Source organism: Homo sapiens, chromosome 10 (assembly GCF_000001405.40).
Source record: "Homo sapiens chromosome 10, GRCh38.p14 Primary Assembly".
Taxonomy (NCBI): Eukaryota; Metazoa; Chordata; class Mammalia; order Primates; family Hominidae; genus Homo; species Homo sapiens.
This window is the reverse complement of record NC_000010.11, coordinates 63596399-63611540: the sequence shown is the minus strand read 5'-3', so window position 1 is coordinate 63611540 and position 15142 is coordinate 63596399. Positions and strand designations below refer to the sequence as shown.

The 15142-nt window shown below is 38.6% G+C and overlaps 1 protein-coding gene and 1 long non-coding RNA gene across 4 annotated transcripts in view; one reads left to right on the top strand and one right to left on the bottom strand.

Moving 5' to 3' along the window:
- Positions 1 to 15142, bottom strand: part of REEP3 (receptor accessory protein 3) — a 103728-nt gene that overhangs the window by 13588 nt on the left and 74998 nt on the right. The window contains exons 4-7 of one of the 3 annotated variants that reach the window (XM_017015896.2): positions 13397 to 13517; positions 12258 to 12371; positions 11829 to 11871; positions 3286 to 10155 (exon numbers count right to left, since the gene is read on the bottom strand). In XM_017015896.2, coding sequence (XP_016871385.1) covers positions 11830 to 11871; positions 12258 to 12371; positions 13397 to 13517 — 277 coding nt within the window. In that variant the 3' untranslated portion in view covers positions 3286 to 10155; position 11829. Of the gene's footprint in view, positions 1 to 1206; positions 1355 to 3285; positions 11872 to 12257; positions 12372 to 13396; positions 13518 to 15142 lie in introns of those variants that run through there. The other 2 variants (NM_001001330.3, XM_011539501.3) reach the window with 2 other exon arrangements.
- Positions 1 to 15142, top strand: part of LOC105378329 (uncharacterized) — a 33332-nt gene that overhangs the window by 13573 nt on the left and 4617 nt on the right. The window lies entirely within an intron of this gene.

The following is a 15142-nucleotide window of genomic DNA, read 5'->3' as shown; positions in this document are numbered from 1 at the left end:
ACTAAGGAACCGTGTCTAATTTATATGTATGTTTCTAAGATCATGATAGTTTTTTAAAGTTTTAGAATATATTAACTATGACATGTTCATAATTTATACTAGAATATGCCTACAAGCTAGCTCTTGAACTAGAATATGTAATTTTAACACATTTTCCATGGGAGTAATCTTATTTTCAAATTGAGTCATCTTTTATCACGTGCTTAAAACTTTTAATCTGTGAGTCAATATCCTTATTTGTCCACAGCACTTACAGTAAAGAGTGTTCAACTATAAAACTTCTTAGATGTCAGTGCACAGTTCGAGTAGAAAGAGTATTGATTACAGGTTAGAACTAGTGCTGGTGGTGAGAAGGTGTTGGTAACCACACCTACAGCTTCTAAAATTCATGGCAGCAAAAGAGGCTACTTTGTTAGCTAGATGATCTCCAGAATCAGCAAAAGGCAAGTACTAATCTTTTTTTTTTCCTGAGATAAAGTCTCACTCTGTTGCCCAGGCTGGAGTGCAGTGGCACCATCTCAGCTCACTGCAACCTCCACCTCCAAGGTTCAAGCAATTCTCCTGCCTCAGCCTCCCAAGTAGCTGAGATTACAGGCGTGTGCCACCACGCCCAGCTAATTTTTTTTGTATTGTTAGTAGAGACGGAGTTTCACCATGTTAGCCAGGCTGGTCGTGAACTCCTAACCTCGTGATCCGCCCACCTCGGCCTCCCAAAGTGCTGGGATTAACGGTGTGAGCCACTGTGCCCAGCCTGAGTCACTGTGCCTGGCCTAGCAAGTACTAATTTAGAGAAAATTCAGAGAAAAAGAACTATGATTAAATGTAAAAGTAAAAAATATAAGCTTAGAAGTAAATTTTGTCTACCTAAATTCAGATAGTTATCATGTATCATGTATTATTTTACTATCCACAAGCCCAATTATGAAATAATCATATATATACGTGTATATATATATATTTTAATTTTACTGGAAGTTCCAGGATACACGTGCAGAATGCGCAGGTTTGTTACACAGGTATACATGTGCCATGGTGGTTTGCTGCATCTACCAACCCATCATCTAGGTTTTAAGCCCCGTATGCATTAGGTATTTGTCCTAATGCTCTCCCTCTCCTTGTGCCCCACCCCCCGACAGGCCCCAGTGTATGTTGTTCCCCTCCCTGTTTCCATGTAAAAGAACCGTATATTAAAACACACAAGCACACCTGCTGATTCACTGGGGGCTGGTTTACTTTTCTTTTTTGCTTCTGGTAGAGGTTGGTATGGTCTTTGTCCCACAGGCTCATCACCTTGGATAGTTGTTAAATCATGCATACTGAAGCTTCTTAAACGTTCAGTTATTGCTCCTTGGCTCTATTTAACAGAGAAGTGATAGGTCCAAGAAAAAATATTTAGTATGCTTACATTTAACTATCCCTGAACATTTTATTAAGATAACTTCAGAAAAGCTGAAAGAATTGTACAATGAACACCCAATATTGTTTACATTTTGCGGTATCTGCTTTCTCACATACCTACCATCTACCTATCCATGAATTCATTTTATTTTTTCATGCATTTCAAAGTAAGTTGGAGACATCAGTATATTTCAACCTCAACATTTCAGCATCATATTTAATTTTAAAATGTAAAAGATGTATGATGGGCTTACCCTCAGAGTAAACAGCATCCATAATGTTGATGTCTCCTAAAACTAGCACTTTGGGGCTTAAACTTTAATATTTAGGGCAACTTTTAATTTTTTGTTTTATTTATTTATATTTATTTATTTATTTATTTAGAGACAGAGTCTCACTCCGTTGCCCAGGCTGGAATGCAGTGGCGTGATCTTGGCTACTGCAACCTCTACCTCCCAGGTTCAAACGTTTCTCCTGCCTCAGTCTCCCGAGTAGCTGGGATTACAGGCATGTGCCACCATATCCAGCTAATTTTTGTATTTTTAACAGAGATGGGGTTTCGCCATGTTGGCCAGGCTGGTCTTGAGCTCCAGACCTCAGGGGATCTGCCTGCCTTGGCCTTCCCAAAGTGCTGAGATTTTAGATGTGAGCCACTAAGCCCGGCCAAGGGCAACTTTTTTTTTTTTTTTTTGAGACAGAGTCTCGCTTTGTCGCCCAAGCTGGAGTGCAGTGGCGCAATCTCGGCTCACTGCAAGCTCCGCCTCCCAGGTTCACACCATTCTCCTGCCTCAGCCCCTCCAGTAGCTGGGACTACAGGCGCCCACCACCACGCCTGGCTAATTTTTTGTATTTTTAGTAGAGATGGGGTTTCACTGTGTTAGCCAGGATGGTCTCGATCTCCTGAACTCGTGATCCGCCTGCCTCGGCCTCCCAAAGTGCTGGGATTACAGACGTGAGCCACCGTGCCCGGCCAAGGGCAACTTTTTAAAGTAAAAGAGACATGACATTGTTTTAAAGCTAAGCTAAGTCAGGACTGGTAACGGCTCTTCCTAGAACAAGTTAGAAACATGTAAGAGCCAAAGAATCTTGAATACAAAATGATAGTCAATTAGTGAATTAACTATCTGGCAAGACATATCTACTACTCTACATTTGACTTTAAGTCCTTTCCCTTAACAATATGGCAGACACTAGGCACAGGTGGGTATTTAAGTTGAAATTAAGTAAAGTTAAATAAAATATAATATTCAGTTCTTTAATTGCACTAGCCACTTTTCAAATGTTCAATAGCTGTGTGTGGCTAGTGGCTACTGTATTGGATAGTGCAGACACAGAACATTTCCATCACAGCAGCTCTGAAAGAGGCATTTTCTGAACTGTTCATGTATAACTACATTTCCCCTCCTAAAGTATAAAGCTTTGTAAAAGCAAAAAAAGAAAAAAAAATTCTAAATTTACCTACTTTAAATTTGCATAGCATATAGATGAGTCACTTCTTATTTATAGCTAGATTAAAAATATTCTTCTAAGGGGTTTTTTATACTTATTATTTCTTCGTTTCACACATGTGAATTTATGATTTCCTCTAGTTACAGTGTTACCAGAGAAACTAATCCATAATGCTTCATCTCTAAATTTCAAAGTCAAAGGTGCTACAAACATTTGGGCATTACAGTTAACTTATATTTTACACTCAAGAGAAAGGTCTTAATTTATGAGTCTTGATTCAGTTACTTTGGGTTAATAATATATTATGTCAAAACCAAATGCCATTTCCATATCCCACTTGAGCTGCGTATTTCTACCATATTTTTGAATTGTGATACGAAATCATTAAAGGACTTTATTCTCAATAAAAATAATTGGATTTCACACATTTAAAAAACATTTGTGGCATGGATTAATTTATTATACTTGCTTCCTCCTTATTAGATATCATTTACTTATCAAACAGATAGTTGACAGAAGACTCCAGAGACATACTACGAGGAAGTGACCAGTGTTCATCTGAAACGGATGCCTTGTTTCTCAGAAATGTCATTCTCTTTATTTCATCTTCGTAGTTCTGTGCCTTCTCTCAGCAATTTCTGATTTCTTTATTTACTGCCACACAGATGACAAATGACATGCATGTCCATGATACCCTTTACTCAATTCACATGCGATTTCCAAGGCTGGCTATAATTCCCAAACCCTCCCACTCAAGAAGGTACATTTCAGGATACAAATGACTCAAAGTACAATGGAATCAGTCTAGCTTTATAATTATATCATCCCCAAACTTTGGTATGTTTAACAAGCATAATCAACAAATCTCTTGGGATATACCTCACAAATGAACTCACGTACTACTGTTACTTCTATTGTTGGGATAGGTATATTTTGCCTCCAGAGCAAGACTTTTAAGACACTAGAGGAGAGGGACAAATCTTAGGCTTCTTCTATTCTCCTGGTGTGCCTGGTATGCTACTGATATTGAGCATGTAATAAGTAAACTAAATACTCTTTTTATGTCCCTTCTTTTTCATTACTCTTGACTGTTAAAGACTTCTCCATAGATGGCAGCATGTTTTAATGTAAACACTGTAGGTTTTTTGCAGAGGTTCAGCAGCAAACTACAGGTATGGCCACAGGTTTCTCCATGGATAGACTACACCACCTACCAAGGGTTTGCTTCAGGTTCAGAATAAACATGAGCAAGGCAAGGCCCAACCTTGAGGTATCTGGGTGATCTATCTAAAGGCTGGATTTAAATTTAGCTCTTGAGTAACCAATGCTACTATTATCAATACCCAAGTATTATCAACCTCTTCAAGGCTTTCAGGAAAGCCAGGCACTGTAGGGAAAAGCAAAAAGGGAATATGAGCCCTCTTTGAGAACCTCCAACACTTTAACAGCCATTATTACCTTGGAAAATTGGACTTTCCACTGTATATTTTTTATGGATCCAGAATAAAACTAATATAAGAGAGAAATTGGTGCAATATTGTGGACTTTGAAAACATTACGTAAATTACATGTATCCAATGTAACCAGTTTAAAGGATGGGTATAATTACAAAGTAATCACTTCTGAAGACTACCTTATTCCTTCCAGTTTTTACATCTTCAGCACAAAAAGTCCAGTAATAAAGGAACTATGTTTGCTATATTAACGGTAAGTGGAGATATCTTCCCTCTACCCCAGAATTCTATAGCACATGCATAATATGATTGCAAGTATGCAGTATGGCTATAAGTAGGCATGGAAAAATGCAAAACTAACAACAGTACAATGTTTAGGCAGATGGGATGGGTGACTTTTTTCCTTTTTTAAAATATTGTCTTTAATATTACAAAATTAGTCAATATGTGGCATACTATAAGAATTTCCAATCCATTTCTCACTCATGTGTCCTGTATCTAATGCTTTATTCCCATCAATAAAATAAAAATGTCTATTTTTGAGGCCACAAATAGAACATTATAGTCACTTGTAAATAACAATGCTAAAAGGGATTGGTTTTGTTTAAATTAATAATGCTTTGTGTATCTATTTTCTTCTATTTAATTTATATAATATTAAGACAAAAGTATAAGAAAAATGAGAAAAGGACCTGGTGCAGTGGCTCACGCCTGCAATTCCAACACTTTGGGAGGCCAAGGTGGGAGGATCACATGAGGCCAGGAGTTTGAGGCCTTAGTGAGCTGTGATCACAACTCTGCACTCCAGCCTGGGTGATAGAGCGAGACCCTGTCTCTAAAAAAGGAAAGAAGAAAGACAGAAAGAAAGAAAGACAAAGAAAGAAAGAGAGAGAGAGAAAGAAACAAAGAGAGGGAGAAAGAGAGAGACAGAGAGAGAGAAAGAAAGAAAGGAAAGAAAGAAAAAGAAAGAAAGAAAAAGAAAAGTTCTAGTCTAGTCTGCTGTATGGAAACAGCGGTCTTAGTCAATAAAGAGGAAAGGCGGGATTACCATTCACAAGATAATTCCATATTTCAGCACTTTAGATCCTATTCTCTGCAGAATTGTCTGTACTCTGTGTATGTTAAAATTGATCCTAACAATCAAAGTAACAGAGATTATGATGAGAATGTAAAAGTCCAGGTAATTAAGTATTCTGTAGAATATTTTACACATTGAAACTGATCATCGTGAGCAGAACTGTTTCTGAACCATCTGAACTTCAGCTGGCACTAAATTCTCAGGTTTTGGATTTAGGTGGGCCCAAATGCCTCTGTAAGAAACTGAGAATACTGCAGGGGCTGACTGGGCAGGAGGGCTGGGTCCAGAGCTAGCACACTCAGGCTCTGGAAGGGATTCTTCAGCTGAGAAGCAGCTCCCCACACTGGCTCCACACAGAGCTCATTTACATCCAAGGGCACTAGGACATCTGAATGTCTACTCAAGTATCCAAGCACGTGGTTGGCATCCATAAAAAGGGGCCCTGCATGTATGAGTAATTCCAATTTCTTTACACTCAAATAATGCTGTCTTTGTTTAAATACTTCATTTCCTGGTTAAACACTACATTAACATTAGTTATTTTGTTTTAAATAAGAACTTATTTTGTTTATCAGCACCTTTGTATAAAACCTTTATTTTCTTCACATTTTAAATCACAGATTTAAAAACATATAACCAGCAATGCTTTATAATCGTACAAGCACAAAACATTCTTTTACAGAATAATTCTTATTATACTATTCAGTAAAGAATAGCCACTAAGCTCTATTTCTTGTTGATCCCTGATGTTACATTATAATTGCAGATAAGGTTAGTTCCCAGTTTTTAGGGAAATCTCATTTCCCCATGCACATTTAACAATTAATCTGATCAAGCCCAGAATGGAATTGACTGCATTTGCATTAGGTGAATAAAATATTTTAGTGAGTTTAAAGCAATACGTATTTACTGAAGAACATTGATAACATGGAGAAAAATTTTAAAAAGGAAGTAAAAATTATTTGTAACCTACCACCAAAACTACTTATACATATTTATATATTCTTTTAGTTTTTTCTGACTCATCATACTTTTAGAGCAGTTTCTCAACCTTAACACTCTTGCTATTTTTTGTTAGATAATTTTTTGTTGTGGGGAACGTCCTGTGCTTTGTAGAATATTAAGCAGCATCCCTGACCATTCTTTACCGACTAGATACCAGTAGCAGCCCCCTCTCAGTGGTGACAACCTAAAATGTCCCGTGGTAAGGGTAGGGGCACAAAATTGCCTCTAGTTGAGAACCACTGTTTTAGAGATATAAGGGGTTTTAGAAATCATGTTTCACCTCTTCGTTTTACAAGTGAGAAAAATTAATGCTTAGATCAATGCAGATGATTTGCCCAAAATCTCGTGGCTAATTTGTGGTGGAATCAGCACTAAAAAAAATCCAGATTAACTCAATTGCTGTAGCATTCAATGTTTGTTATACCATTCTGCTTCCCTAGATTTTAGGAAAAATAGTACAACCTTCTTTTTCCATTGTCTGGACAAACATTCTTCCCTTTTTTTTTAAGTGTATAATACTAAGCTGTATATCCTCAAAGCCATTCACAAACAGAAAGTCATAGACAGTAAGATGTTCGGATTTTTGACCTAATCGGGATCATTTAAAGTTAATTAGATTTCAACAATTTTACCTGTAAAGCTCAAAAGTCTGTGGTAACTGATTTCTTATATCTGCTAAAGAAATTCACCAAAAAAAGGCTGCCAGAGAAATTCAAAGACATGGTTAATACAACTAACAGTACTTTTCTTCATCTGTCCTTCATCTGGCAGTAGTGTTGCTCATCTGCACGAAACCACCTATGTTTCTCATGTGAAAAGCTATGGAATGCTGTACATCCTCAGCAAAATCCTTGAAGGTCCTTCAAATGTTTATGCTTTGCTCAGCCAAAATAAACTTGTACAGTGACCTTGCGAACAGATGCCTGGTAATGAGGTCATAGAACTGAGTAACATTTTCAGAAAATTGCTTTACGGTGTAATAAATGTTCTGATTAGATTCCTATTTTCACCTTTAACATGCTCAGGTGGTTCAACCTGGGAAACCTAGTCAGCGTTATTACCCGTTCTTCAAAGGTCACACCAAGAGTCCAAGAATTTTAAGCCTGAAAGATACTTTAAACAAACTATATATTGTAAAAATGTTAAATAATTTTCAGATCTTACTGTTGGCTTTCTTGCAGCTTCTCCTTAAACCTGACCTATTTCCTATTTCAGTTTCAATTTACTCTTCAGTATGAAGTGTCTGGTTCAGTGATTCTTCTATGACAATGCCCTTGTTTGACATCTGCAGAGATGAAACTAATTTCATGTACTTTAAAATAAGCACAGTATAACTTGAGGCAAATAGGGTTAACATTACGCTATGTTCAGCATATTTAATGAATATGCTAGTGAATAATATAGACTCCAGGATGGGGTCTCCAACATTCCGGTACTCATGAGAATAATGAAGGTTACCTTACATACAGGGATGTTATGGATAAAAGAATCACAACATTGCAAACAAATGGGAACAGTTCCAAATCCAGTATCTGATTTCATTTAGGGGATATGGGCTTCTACTTGTTTTGCAGGAGTGACTTAGATGATTTTTATCAATATTACTGCCTTTGGGGTGGACACGTGATTTTAAGGTGTTAACGTATAAATTAAAACACGTGATTTTAAGGTGTTAAACGTATAAATTAAAAGAATAAATCACAAGAGAGCCAGAAAAATAGATATATGAAATAGACACATTTTTGTTTTCGTGGCATTTTTACAGAAAAGTATTCCTGTGAGATAATGCTTATTTTAATAATGAAGGGTAATGGGTGGGGTCTTTTTTTTTTTTTTTTTTTTTTGAGACAGAGTCTTGCACTCTCACCCAGGCTGGAGTGCAGTGGCGCGATCTCGGCTCACTGCAAGCTCCGCCTCCTGGGTTCACACCATTCTCCTGCCTCAGCCTCCCGAGTTGCTGGGACTACAGGCACCCACCACCACGCCCACCTAATTTTTTGTATTTTTAGTAGAGATGGGGTTTCACTGTGTTAGCCAGGATGGTCTCAATCTCCTGACCTTGTGATCCGCCCGCCTCAGCCTCCCAAAGTGCTGGGATTACAGGTGTGAGCCACTGCGCCCAGCCATGGGTGGGGTCTTATCAACCAGAGGTGAAATAAAATTTTCAGTTAGAAATAAAATTTTTGTGGGCTATTCCCTAGCTAATACAGACATTAGCTCCAGACAGACAGTAGATTGTGCAGGTGAGGGCTATATCTATCTTGTTCATTGCTACATTCCCAGTACCTACTATGCAGTAGGCATTAAATAAACAGATGCTGAATAAATAATATGTAGAATGCTAAATACCAATGGAGGCGAAGTGTAAGATAAAAATAAATGAGGAAGGGAATGAGGATAAGATAATAGAGTGGGGACTGCTGATGCCCTACGTGGGAGTAGTAAACACAAGTCAAAATAAAACAAGTACTGCACAAAATAGTCACAATATGTACAATGGTGTCTCACAAAATAGGAGAATAATAGATTATTATACACAAATGTTAAAAGTGAGGAGGAAAAATGGGATTTGTATGCTTCTTTGTTTTTTGAGACAATATTCTAAAATGTGTTCTCTAAATAATTTTTCAACTTGAAATTTAATTTTCAGTTTTTCTCCATAGAACCATGTTGAAGGATGCTTTTAAATATGAAAAATTCAGATAGCATCTTCATTGGGTGTAAATAAATACATGCACTTGATTTGCAAAATCAAAAATGCTAAATTTTATAGCAAAAAGCAACAAGCTCTTAGTCTCCTTCTCCTCTTCATCCGCTGCCGATGCAACTCCTTTAAACCCTCTACTTTCCTACTGTAACAAATGAGGATTTTAGTTCTCTTCCACTTTCCTTCTCTTTCCCCCATACTCTCAATATGGCAAAACCACAGTTGTTAAATCCTTAGTCTGTGTTCATTATTATAATGTAAATGCAGTCATACTCCATTATTTCATTTCTTATGTAACTTTTTTCCCCAGAGTTAATGATTATGCCTTTTTTTTTCCTTTTTCATTGTCTTACCCTCTTCCTCTTTACATTGCCGCCAATGTATTTTTTCATGGTGCTCAGGGATCATGTGCAGCTACATGGGCACCAGTGGCCTACAGCCAATGTGTCATCTGGTTGAAGCATGCCCTCAGAGTCCCTGCTTTTATTTTTTATTATTTATTTATTTATTTTATTATTAGTATTTTTTGAGATGGAGTTTCACTCTTGTCACCTAGGCTGGAGTGCAATGGCGTGATCTTGGCTCACTGCAACCTCCATCTCCCAGGTTCAAGCGATTCTCCTGTCTTGGCCTCCTGAGTAGCTGGGACTACAGGTGCCCACCACCATGTCCAGCTAATTTTTTTGAATTTTTAGTAGAAACTGGGTTTCACCACGTTGGCCAGGATGGTCTTGAACTCCTGACCTCAGGTGATCCACCTACCTCGGCCTCCCAAAGTGCTGGGATTACAGGTGTGAGCCACCACGCCCAGCCTCTCACTGGTTTTAGTATCATCCCTGTGCAGCACGAAAAATCCTCTTGGCTTTGTAGGTCTACCAGAGACATCCCTCCTGGCACCTTTCATCCACCACATCCAGTTTTGGCTGGCTGCACTTTGGACTTGCTGTGTGGTGTTCTCTTTGGGAATTTTTGTCATCTCCTTTCTGTGCTGAATGACTTGTTTCCCAGATCCCATGGGTTTTCTTTTTTGTGGACCATTCCCTAGCTCTGGGGAGCATATCTGCCTGGACAAAAGATAACCAGTAGGTAAATCTTGTGACTCTGCATGCCTAGAATTAAGAAATTTCTTAATTCTAAGCTAACACAATTGAGAGCTTGACTGTTAATAGTTCTTGAGGGTGAAAATCATGATGGTATCATGGATGGTATTACTGTCTTCAAGCTTTCACTGTCACTGTTTAGAAATTTAATGTCATTCTGATTCTACATCATTTAAATGTGACATGCTTTTTTTTTGAGATGGAGTCTCGCTCTGTCACCCAGGCTGGAGTATAGTGGTGTGATCTTGGCTCAGTGCAGCCTCCGCCTCCCGGGTTCAAGCAATTCTCCTGCCTCAGCCTCCCGAGTAGCTGGGATTACAGGCGCCCCCCCACCACGCCCAGCTAATCTTTGTATTTTTAGTAGAGACGGGGTTTCACCATGTTGGCCAGGCTGGTCTGAATTCCTGACCTTAAGTGATCCATCTGCCTCGGCCTCCCAAAGTGCTGGGATTACATGTGTGAGCCACTGTGCCTGGCCAAATGTGACATGCTTTTTATATTTGGAATCTTTATGAATTCTTTCCTTATCACTGGTGTTTTGGGATACCCAATGACTTCACTTAGAGTCAGTCATTCTTTTCATTCATTGTGCTAAGTACTTGGTGGGTCCTTTCAATCTGAAGATTCATATCCTTCAGTTCTGGGAAATATTATTGTATTATTTCTTTGATAATTGCATCTATTCCCTCTTTTTAGAATTCCCAGTGGCTGGATTATCTCCTGGATAATCTTTTTTAGCAGATATGGAAATCAGGAATGCATTTTCACTAAGCAAGAAATAAAAAACAAAATGAACTTCTAAAATAAAACATAGTCCTTTAAGCTGAAAACTTTGCTATTTCTGTATTCATTTATAAACCTATCCTAATAAAAGAAAAAGCCTTTAAAAGCCAAATAACAAGAAAACTATGCTATATTAAAGTGCTGACCATTAATAATCATTAATAATATAGTTATCTTACATGTATAGTGCTGCATAGTTAATAAACTTCCATTTAACCCTCAATGTAATGCTATTAGGTATATAATTTGAATTTTCCTTCTTGTTCATTACATTCATTTTGATACTTGAGTCAAAGACCTCTCTGAAAAGTGAAAGTGCCCTCATTTCATATCCCTTCACTATTAGTTATATAAAATCACCACTCAACTGGAATATTTATTTCCATAGAGTTGTTTTAGTTCAAGATAACTAAAACAGACTAACTTGAAAGCAGAATACTATTCAATCTCAATTTAATTTAATAGCAAAAAACTTAAATTTTCACTTGAATTTTGAATGGAGATAGACACATGATATTTATGTTTATTGGGCTCCTACTATATGCAAGCAAGCACTGTGCTTTTAAATATTCTCACAGGTATATTACCCCCATTTTATACATGAAGCAACTAAGGAACACAGAAGGCTATTTTCTTTCCATACCAAACACACCAAAATCAATTATGCTAAAGTATTTAAAATAAATCACACAAATTACAACATGCAAAGAAATCCAAAACCATAATGCAAATTTTTACAGAACACATTCATTTGATAACTTGGCTTGCAAACACAACAAATGACATTAGTAACTGGCTAAGTACCAAGTTTTAAGAACAGACTTTTTCATGCCTTATTTTGAATAATCGGTTACCTCAAATTGATTGAAGTAGAGGTGCAGAAGTAAGCCAGAAATCCTACCAAGATATTGCCATTGACAAAGAGACAGAAAAAAAGAGAGAGAAAGAACACCAAAGACAGAGAAATAAACAATGGTCATCTTTACATCAGGTGATTTACTCAAACTACTTTAAGGTGATTAAGTGGGAAAATTATGACTAAATGACATTTTCAGGTATGTATTATTTATTAACGACCTCATTTTGTGATGAATTAAGAGATTCAAAATATCAAGTATGGAAAACACAAAATTAAAATATCTTTAAAATTATTTACTTGTTTTCCAGTATTAGAAAAATAAATATAGCAAAATGCCACAATTTTATAATGGTTTGAAATAAGAAGCCACCTTTATTTGTTGACTTAATATGACATTGGATTAAAAAGGTAAATGAACAATTACCTTTACTGCTGCAGTAACAGCAGCAGTAGCTGCAAGGTTTAAACCTTGCCGTCCAAAGTTTACCATGGTTTCATAGCCTCGTTCCTTTGCTTGTACAATATAATCATCAATCTCCTGGGGGAAAAAGCCACAGATGTTAGTTTTACTTAAAAATAGTGTTAATAAGCCCCAAACTAGAACATTCTCCCTATAATAGTTTCATTAATTTTATAGCATTAAGCATGTGTTGATAGGCATTTCTTTCTTTTCTTTTCTTTTTTTTGAGAGAGGGTCTCTTCCTTTTGCCTAGGCTGGAATGCAGTGGCATGGGACAATAAGTGTGTACCACCATGACCAAATAATTTTTAATTTTTTTGTAGAGACGGGGTCTCACTATATTGCCTAGGCTGGTCTCAAACTCCTGGGCTCAAGCAATCCTCCCACCTTGGCTTCCCAAAGTGTTGGGATTACAGGCATGAGCCACTGCACCCAGCCCAGGCGCTTCTTTTTTTTTTTTTTTTGAGATGGAGTCTCGCTCTCTTGTCCAGGCTGGAGTGCAGTTGTGCAATCTCGGCTCACTGCAAACTCCACCTCCCGGGTTCGCGCCATTCTCCTGCCTCAGCCTCCCGAGTAGCTGGGACTATGGGTGCCCGCCACCACGCCCAGCTAATTTTTTGTATTTTTAGTAGAGACAGGGTTTCACCGTGTTAGCCAGGATGGTCTCGATCTCCGGACCTAGTGATCTACCCACCTCGGCGTCCCAAAGTGCTGGGATTACAGGCGTGAGCCACCGTGCCCGGCCTTTTTTTTTTTTTTTTTTTGAGATGGAGTCTCATTCTGTCACTCAGGCTGGAGTGCAATGGTGAGATCTCAGCTCACTGCAACCTCCGTCTCCTGGGTTCAAGCGATTCTCCTGCCTCAGCCTCCTGACTAACCGGGGTTACAGGCATGCACCACCATACCTGGTTAATTTTTTTTTGTATTTTTAGTAGAGGTGGGGTTTCACCATGTTGGCCAGGCTGGTCTCATATTCCTGGCCTCCAGTGATCCACCCACCTCAGCCTCCCAAAGTGCTGGGATTACAGGTGTGAGCCACCACACCTGGCCTCCGCTTAGGCATTTCTAAAAAATTATTTACGGAAGTAATTTATATATCTTACCCTTTCCTTTGAAGAAAGAAGTGGATGAAGGAATTTTCTATATATTAAACTTGCTCCTTTGGTATAGGGAGAAAGCAGCCATATGACAAAAGCAATCTTCAGCTCATAGTACAGGGGAAACCTAATAAGAAAAACATTTGGAAATAAACTGCCAGTGAAAAACAAACCACTGTAGAAATCACAAAAACACCTTTTAAAAAGTTCAGTCACTATGCTGTTTTTTGTTTTTTTTTTTTTGAGATGGAGTTTTGCTCTTGTCATCTGAGTGCAATGGCACCATCTCGGCTCATTGCAACCTCCGCCTCCTGGGTTCAAGTGATTCTCCTGCCTCAGCCTCCCCAGTAGTTAGGATTACAGGTGCACGTCACCACTCCTGGCTAATTTTCATATTTTTAGTAGAGGCGGGGTTTCACCATGTTGTCCAGGCCTGGTCTTGAACTCCTGACCTCATGTGATCCGCCCACCTCGGCCTCCCAAAGTGGTGGGATTACAGGCGTGAGCCACAGCACCCAGCCTATGCTAAGTTTTTGAATGTAAAAGTCAGTGATCAGGAGACAACTGTGTTTGAATAATCTTGTTTCAACTATAGATCAGTTCATGAATGTGTGACCTGAGAGATTCCCCCCTCATTCTAATACAAGAATCTTCCTTTGTAGTAAGCATAGGAAAGCTGCCAAACTGAATGCAGCAGTTAAGAGAAGGCACTAATACCATTTATCCAGTGCACAAGGTATGGCCACCCTATCTGCAGAGCCAAACTGGCATGGAAGTACATGACCTATCTCATATGATAGTTGTGCCTATCAGAGAATGACTTCATATGCTCCAAGTGCACAATGTCTACCCCATACACACACGTCTTCATCTTTTTCAGAACTCCGAAAAAATATCCCTTCCAATTTCATTTGGCCAGAATTGCAGCACTCTGCAGACCTAAACTGTTCACTTCCAAGGAAAATACAAAGTGTTACAGTGGGCCTCCCCCGTTGGCCCAGTATACTTCCTCAACCAATGACTGTGGCTTTAACCATGTGACTTGCTTGCTTTGGCCAGCAGAAAAGAACATGATACATGTCACATGCAAGCAGAAGCTTTAGAACACCCTTCGACTCCCTCACTCCATTACCCATTACCCTCAAACTCTTGCTTTAAGCTTTTGCCTTCTGGCATGAGAACAGCTGCTTCTTCAGCCTTGGTTTAAGGTGCCAGGTGAGGTGCTCACGCCTGTAATCCCAGCACTTTGGGAGGCCAAACTGGGAGGATTGCTTCAGCCCAGGAGTTCAAGGGTGCGGTGAGCTATCATCATGCCATTGCACTCCAGCTTGGGCAATGGAGCAAGACCCTGTCTCTAAAACAACAACAGAAACAACAGCAAAAGTGACCTGACCCCAGCAAAGATGCAGTCAACCATTTGCCCTCATGTAGCTTGAGCAAGAAATAAAAGTTTGCTTTTCTAAGCCACTGTACTTTTATGGTTGTTTTTTTGCCACAGCAAAAGTTCACTAATATATAATGAGAGGCTCAGTATCTTGTTGTCTGTGAGAACCACATAAATGTAGTCCATTTATCACTAGGATAAATGATAGCTGAGCAAATTTGAGTTCTTCTGTCAAGGTGGGCAGGTAGAGAGCAGTGAGGATGACTTACTATGTAGTCAACAAAGAGGTCTCTGCCACACTGCAATTACAGGAGTTTCTGGATTCAGTTGTTCATGTTAAACATTTTCTACATCGTTCATTTTTAAAT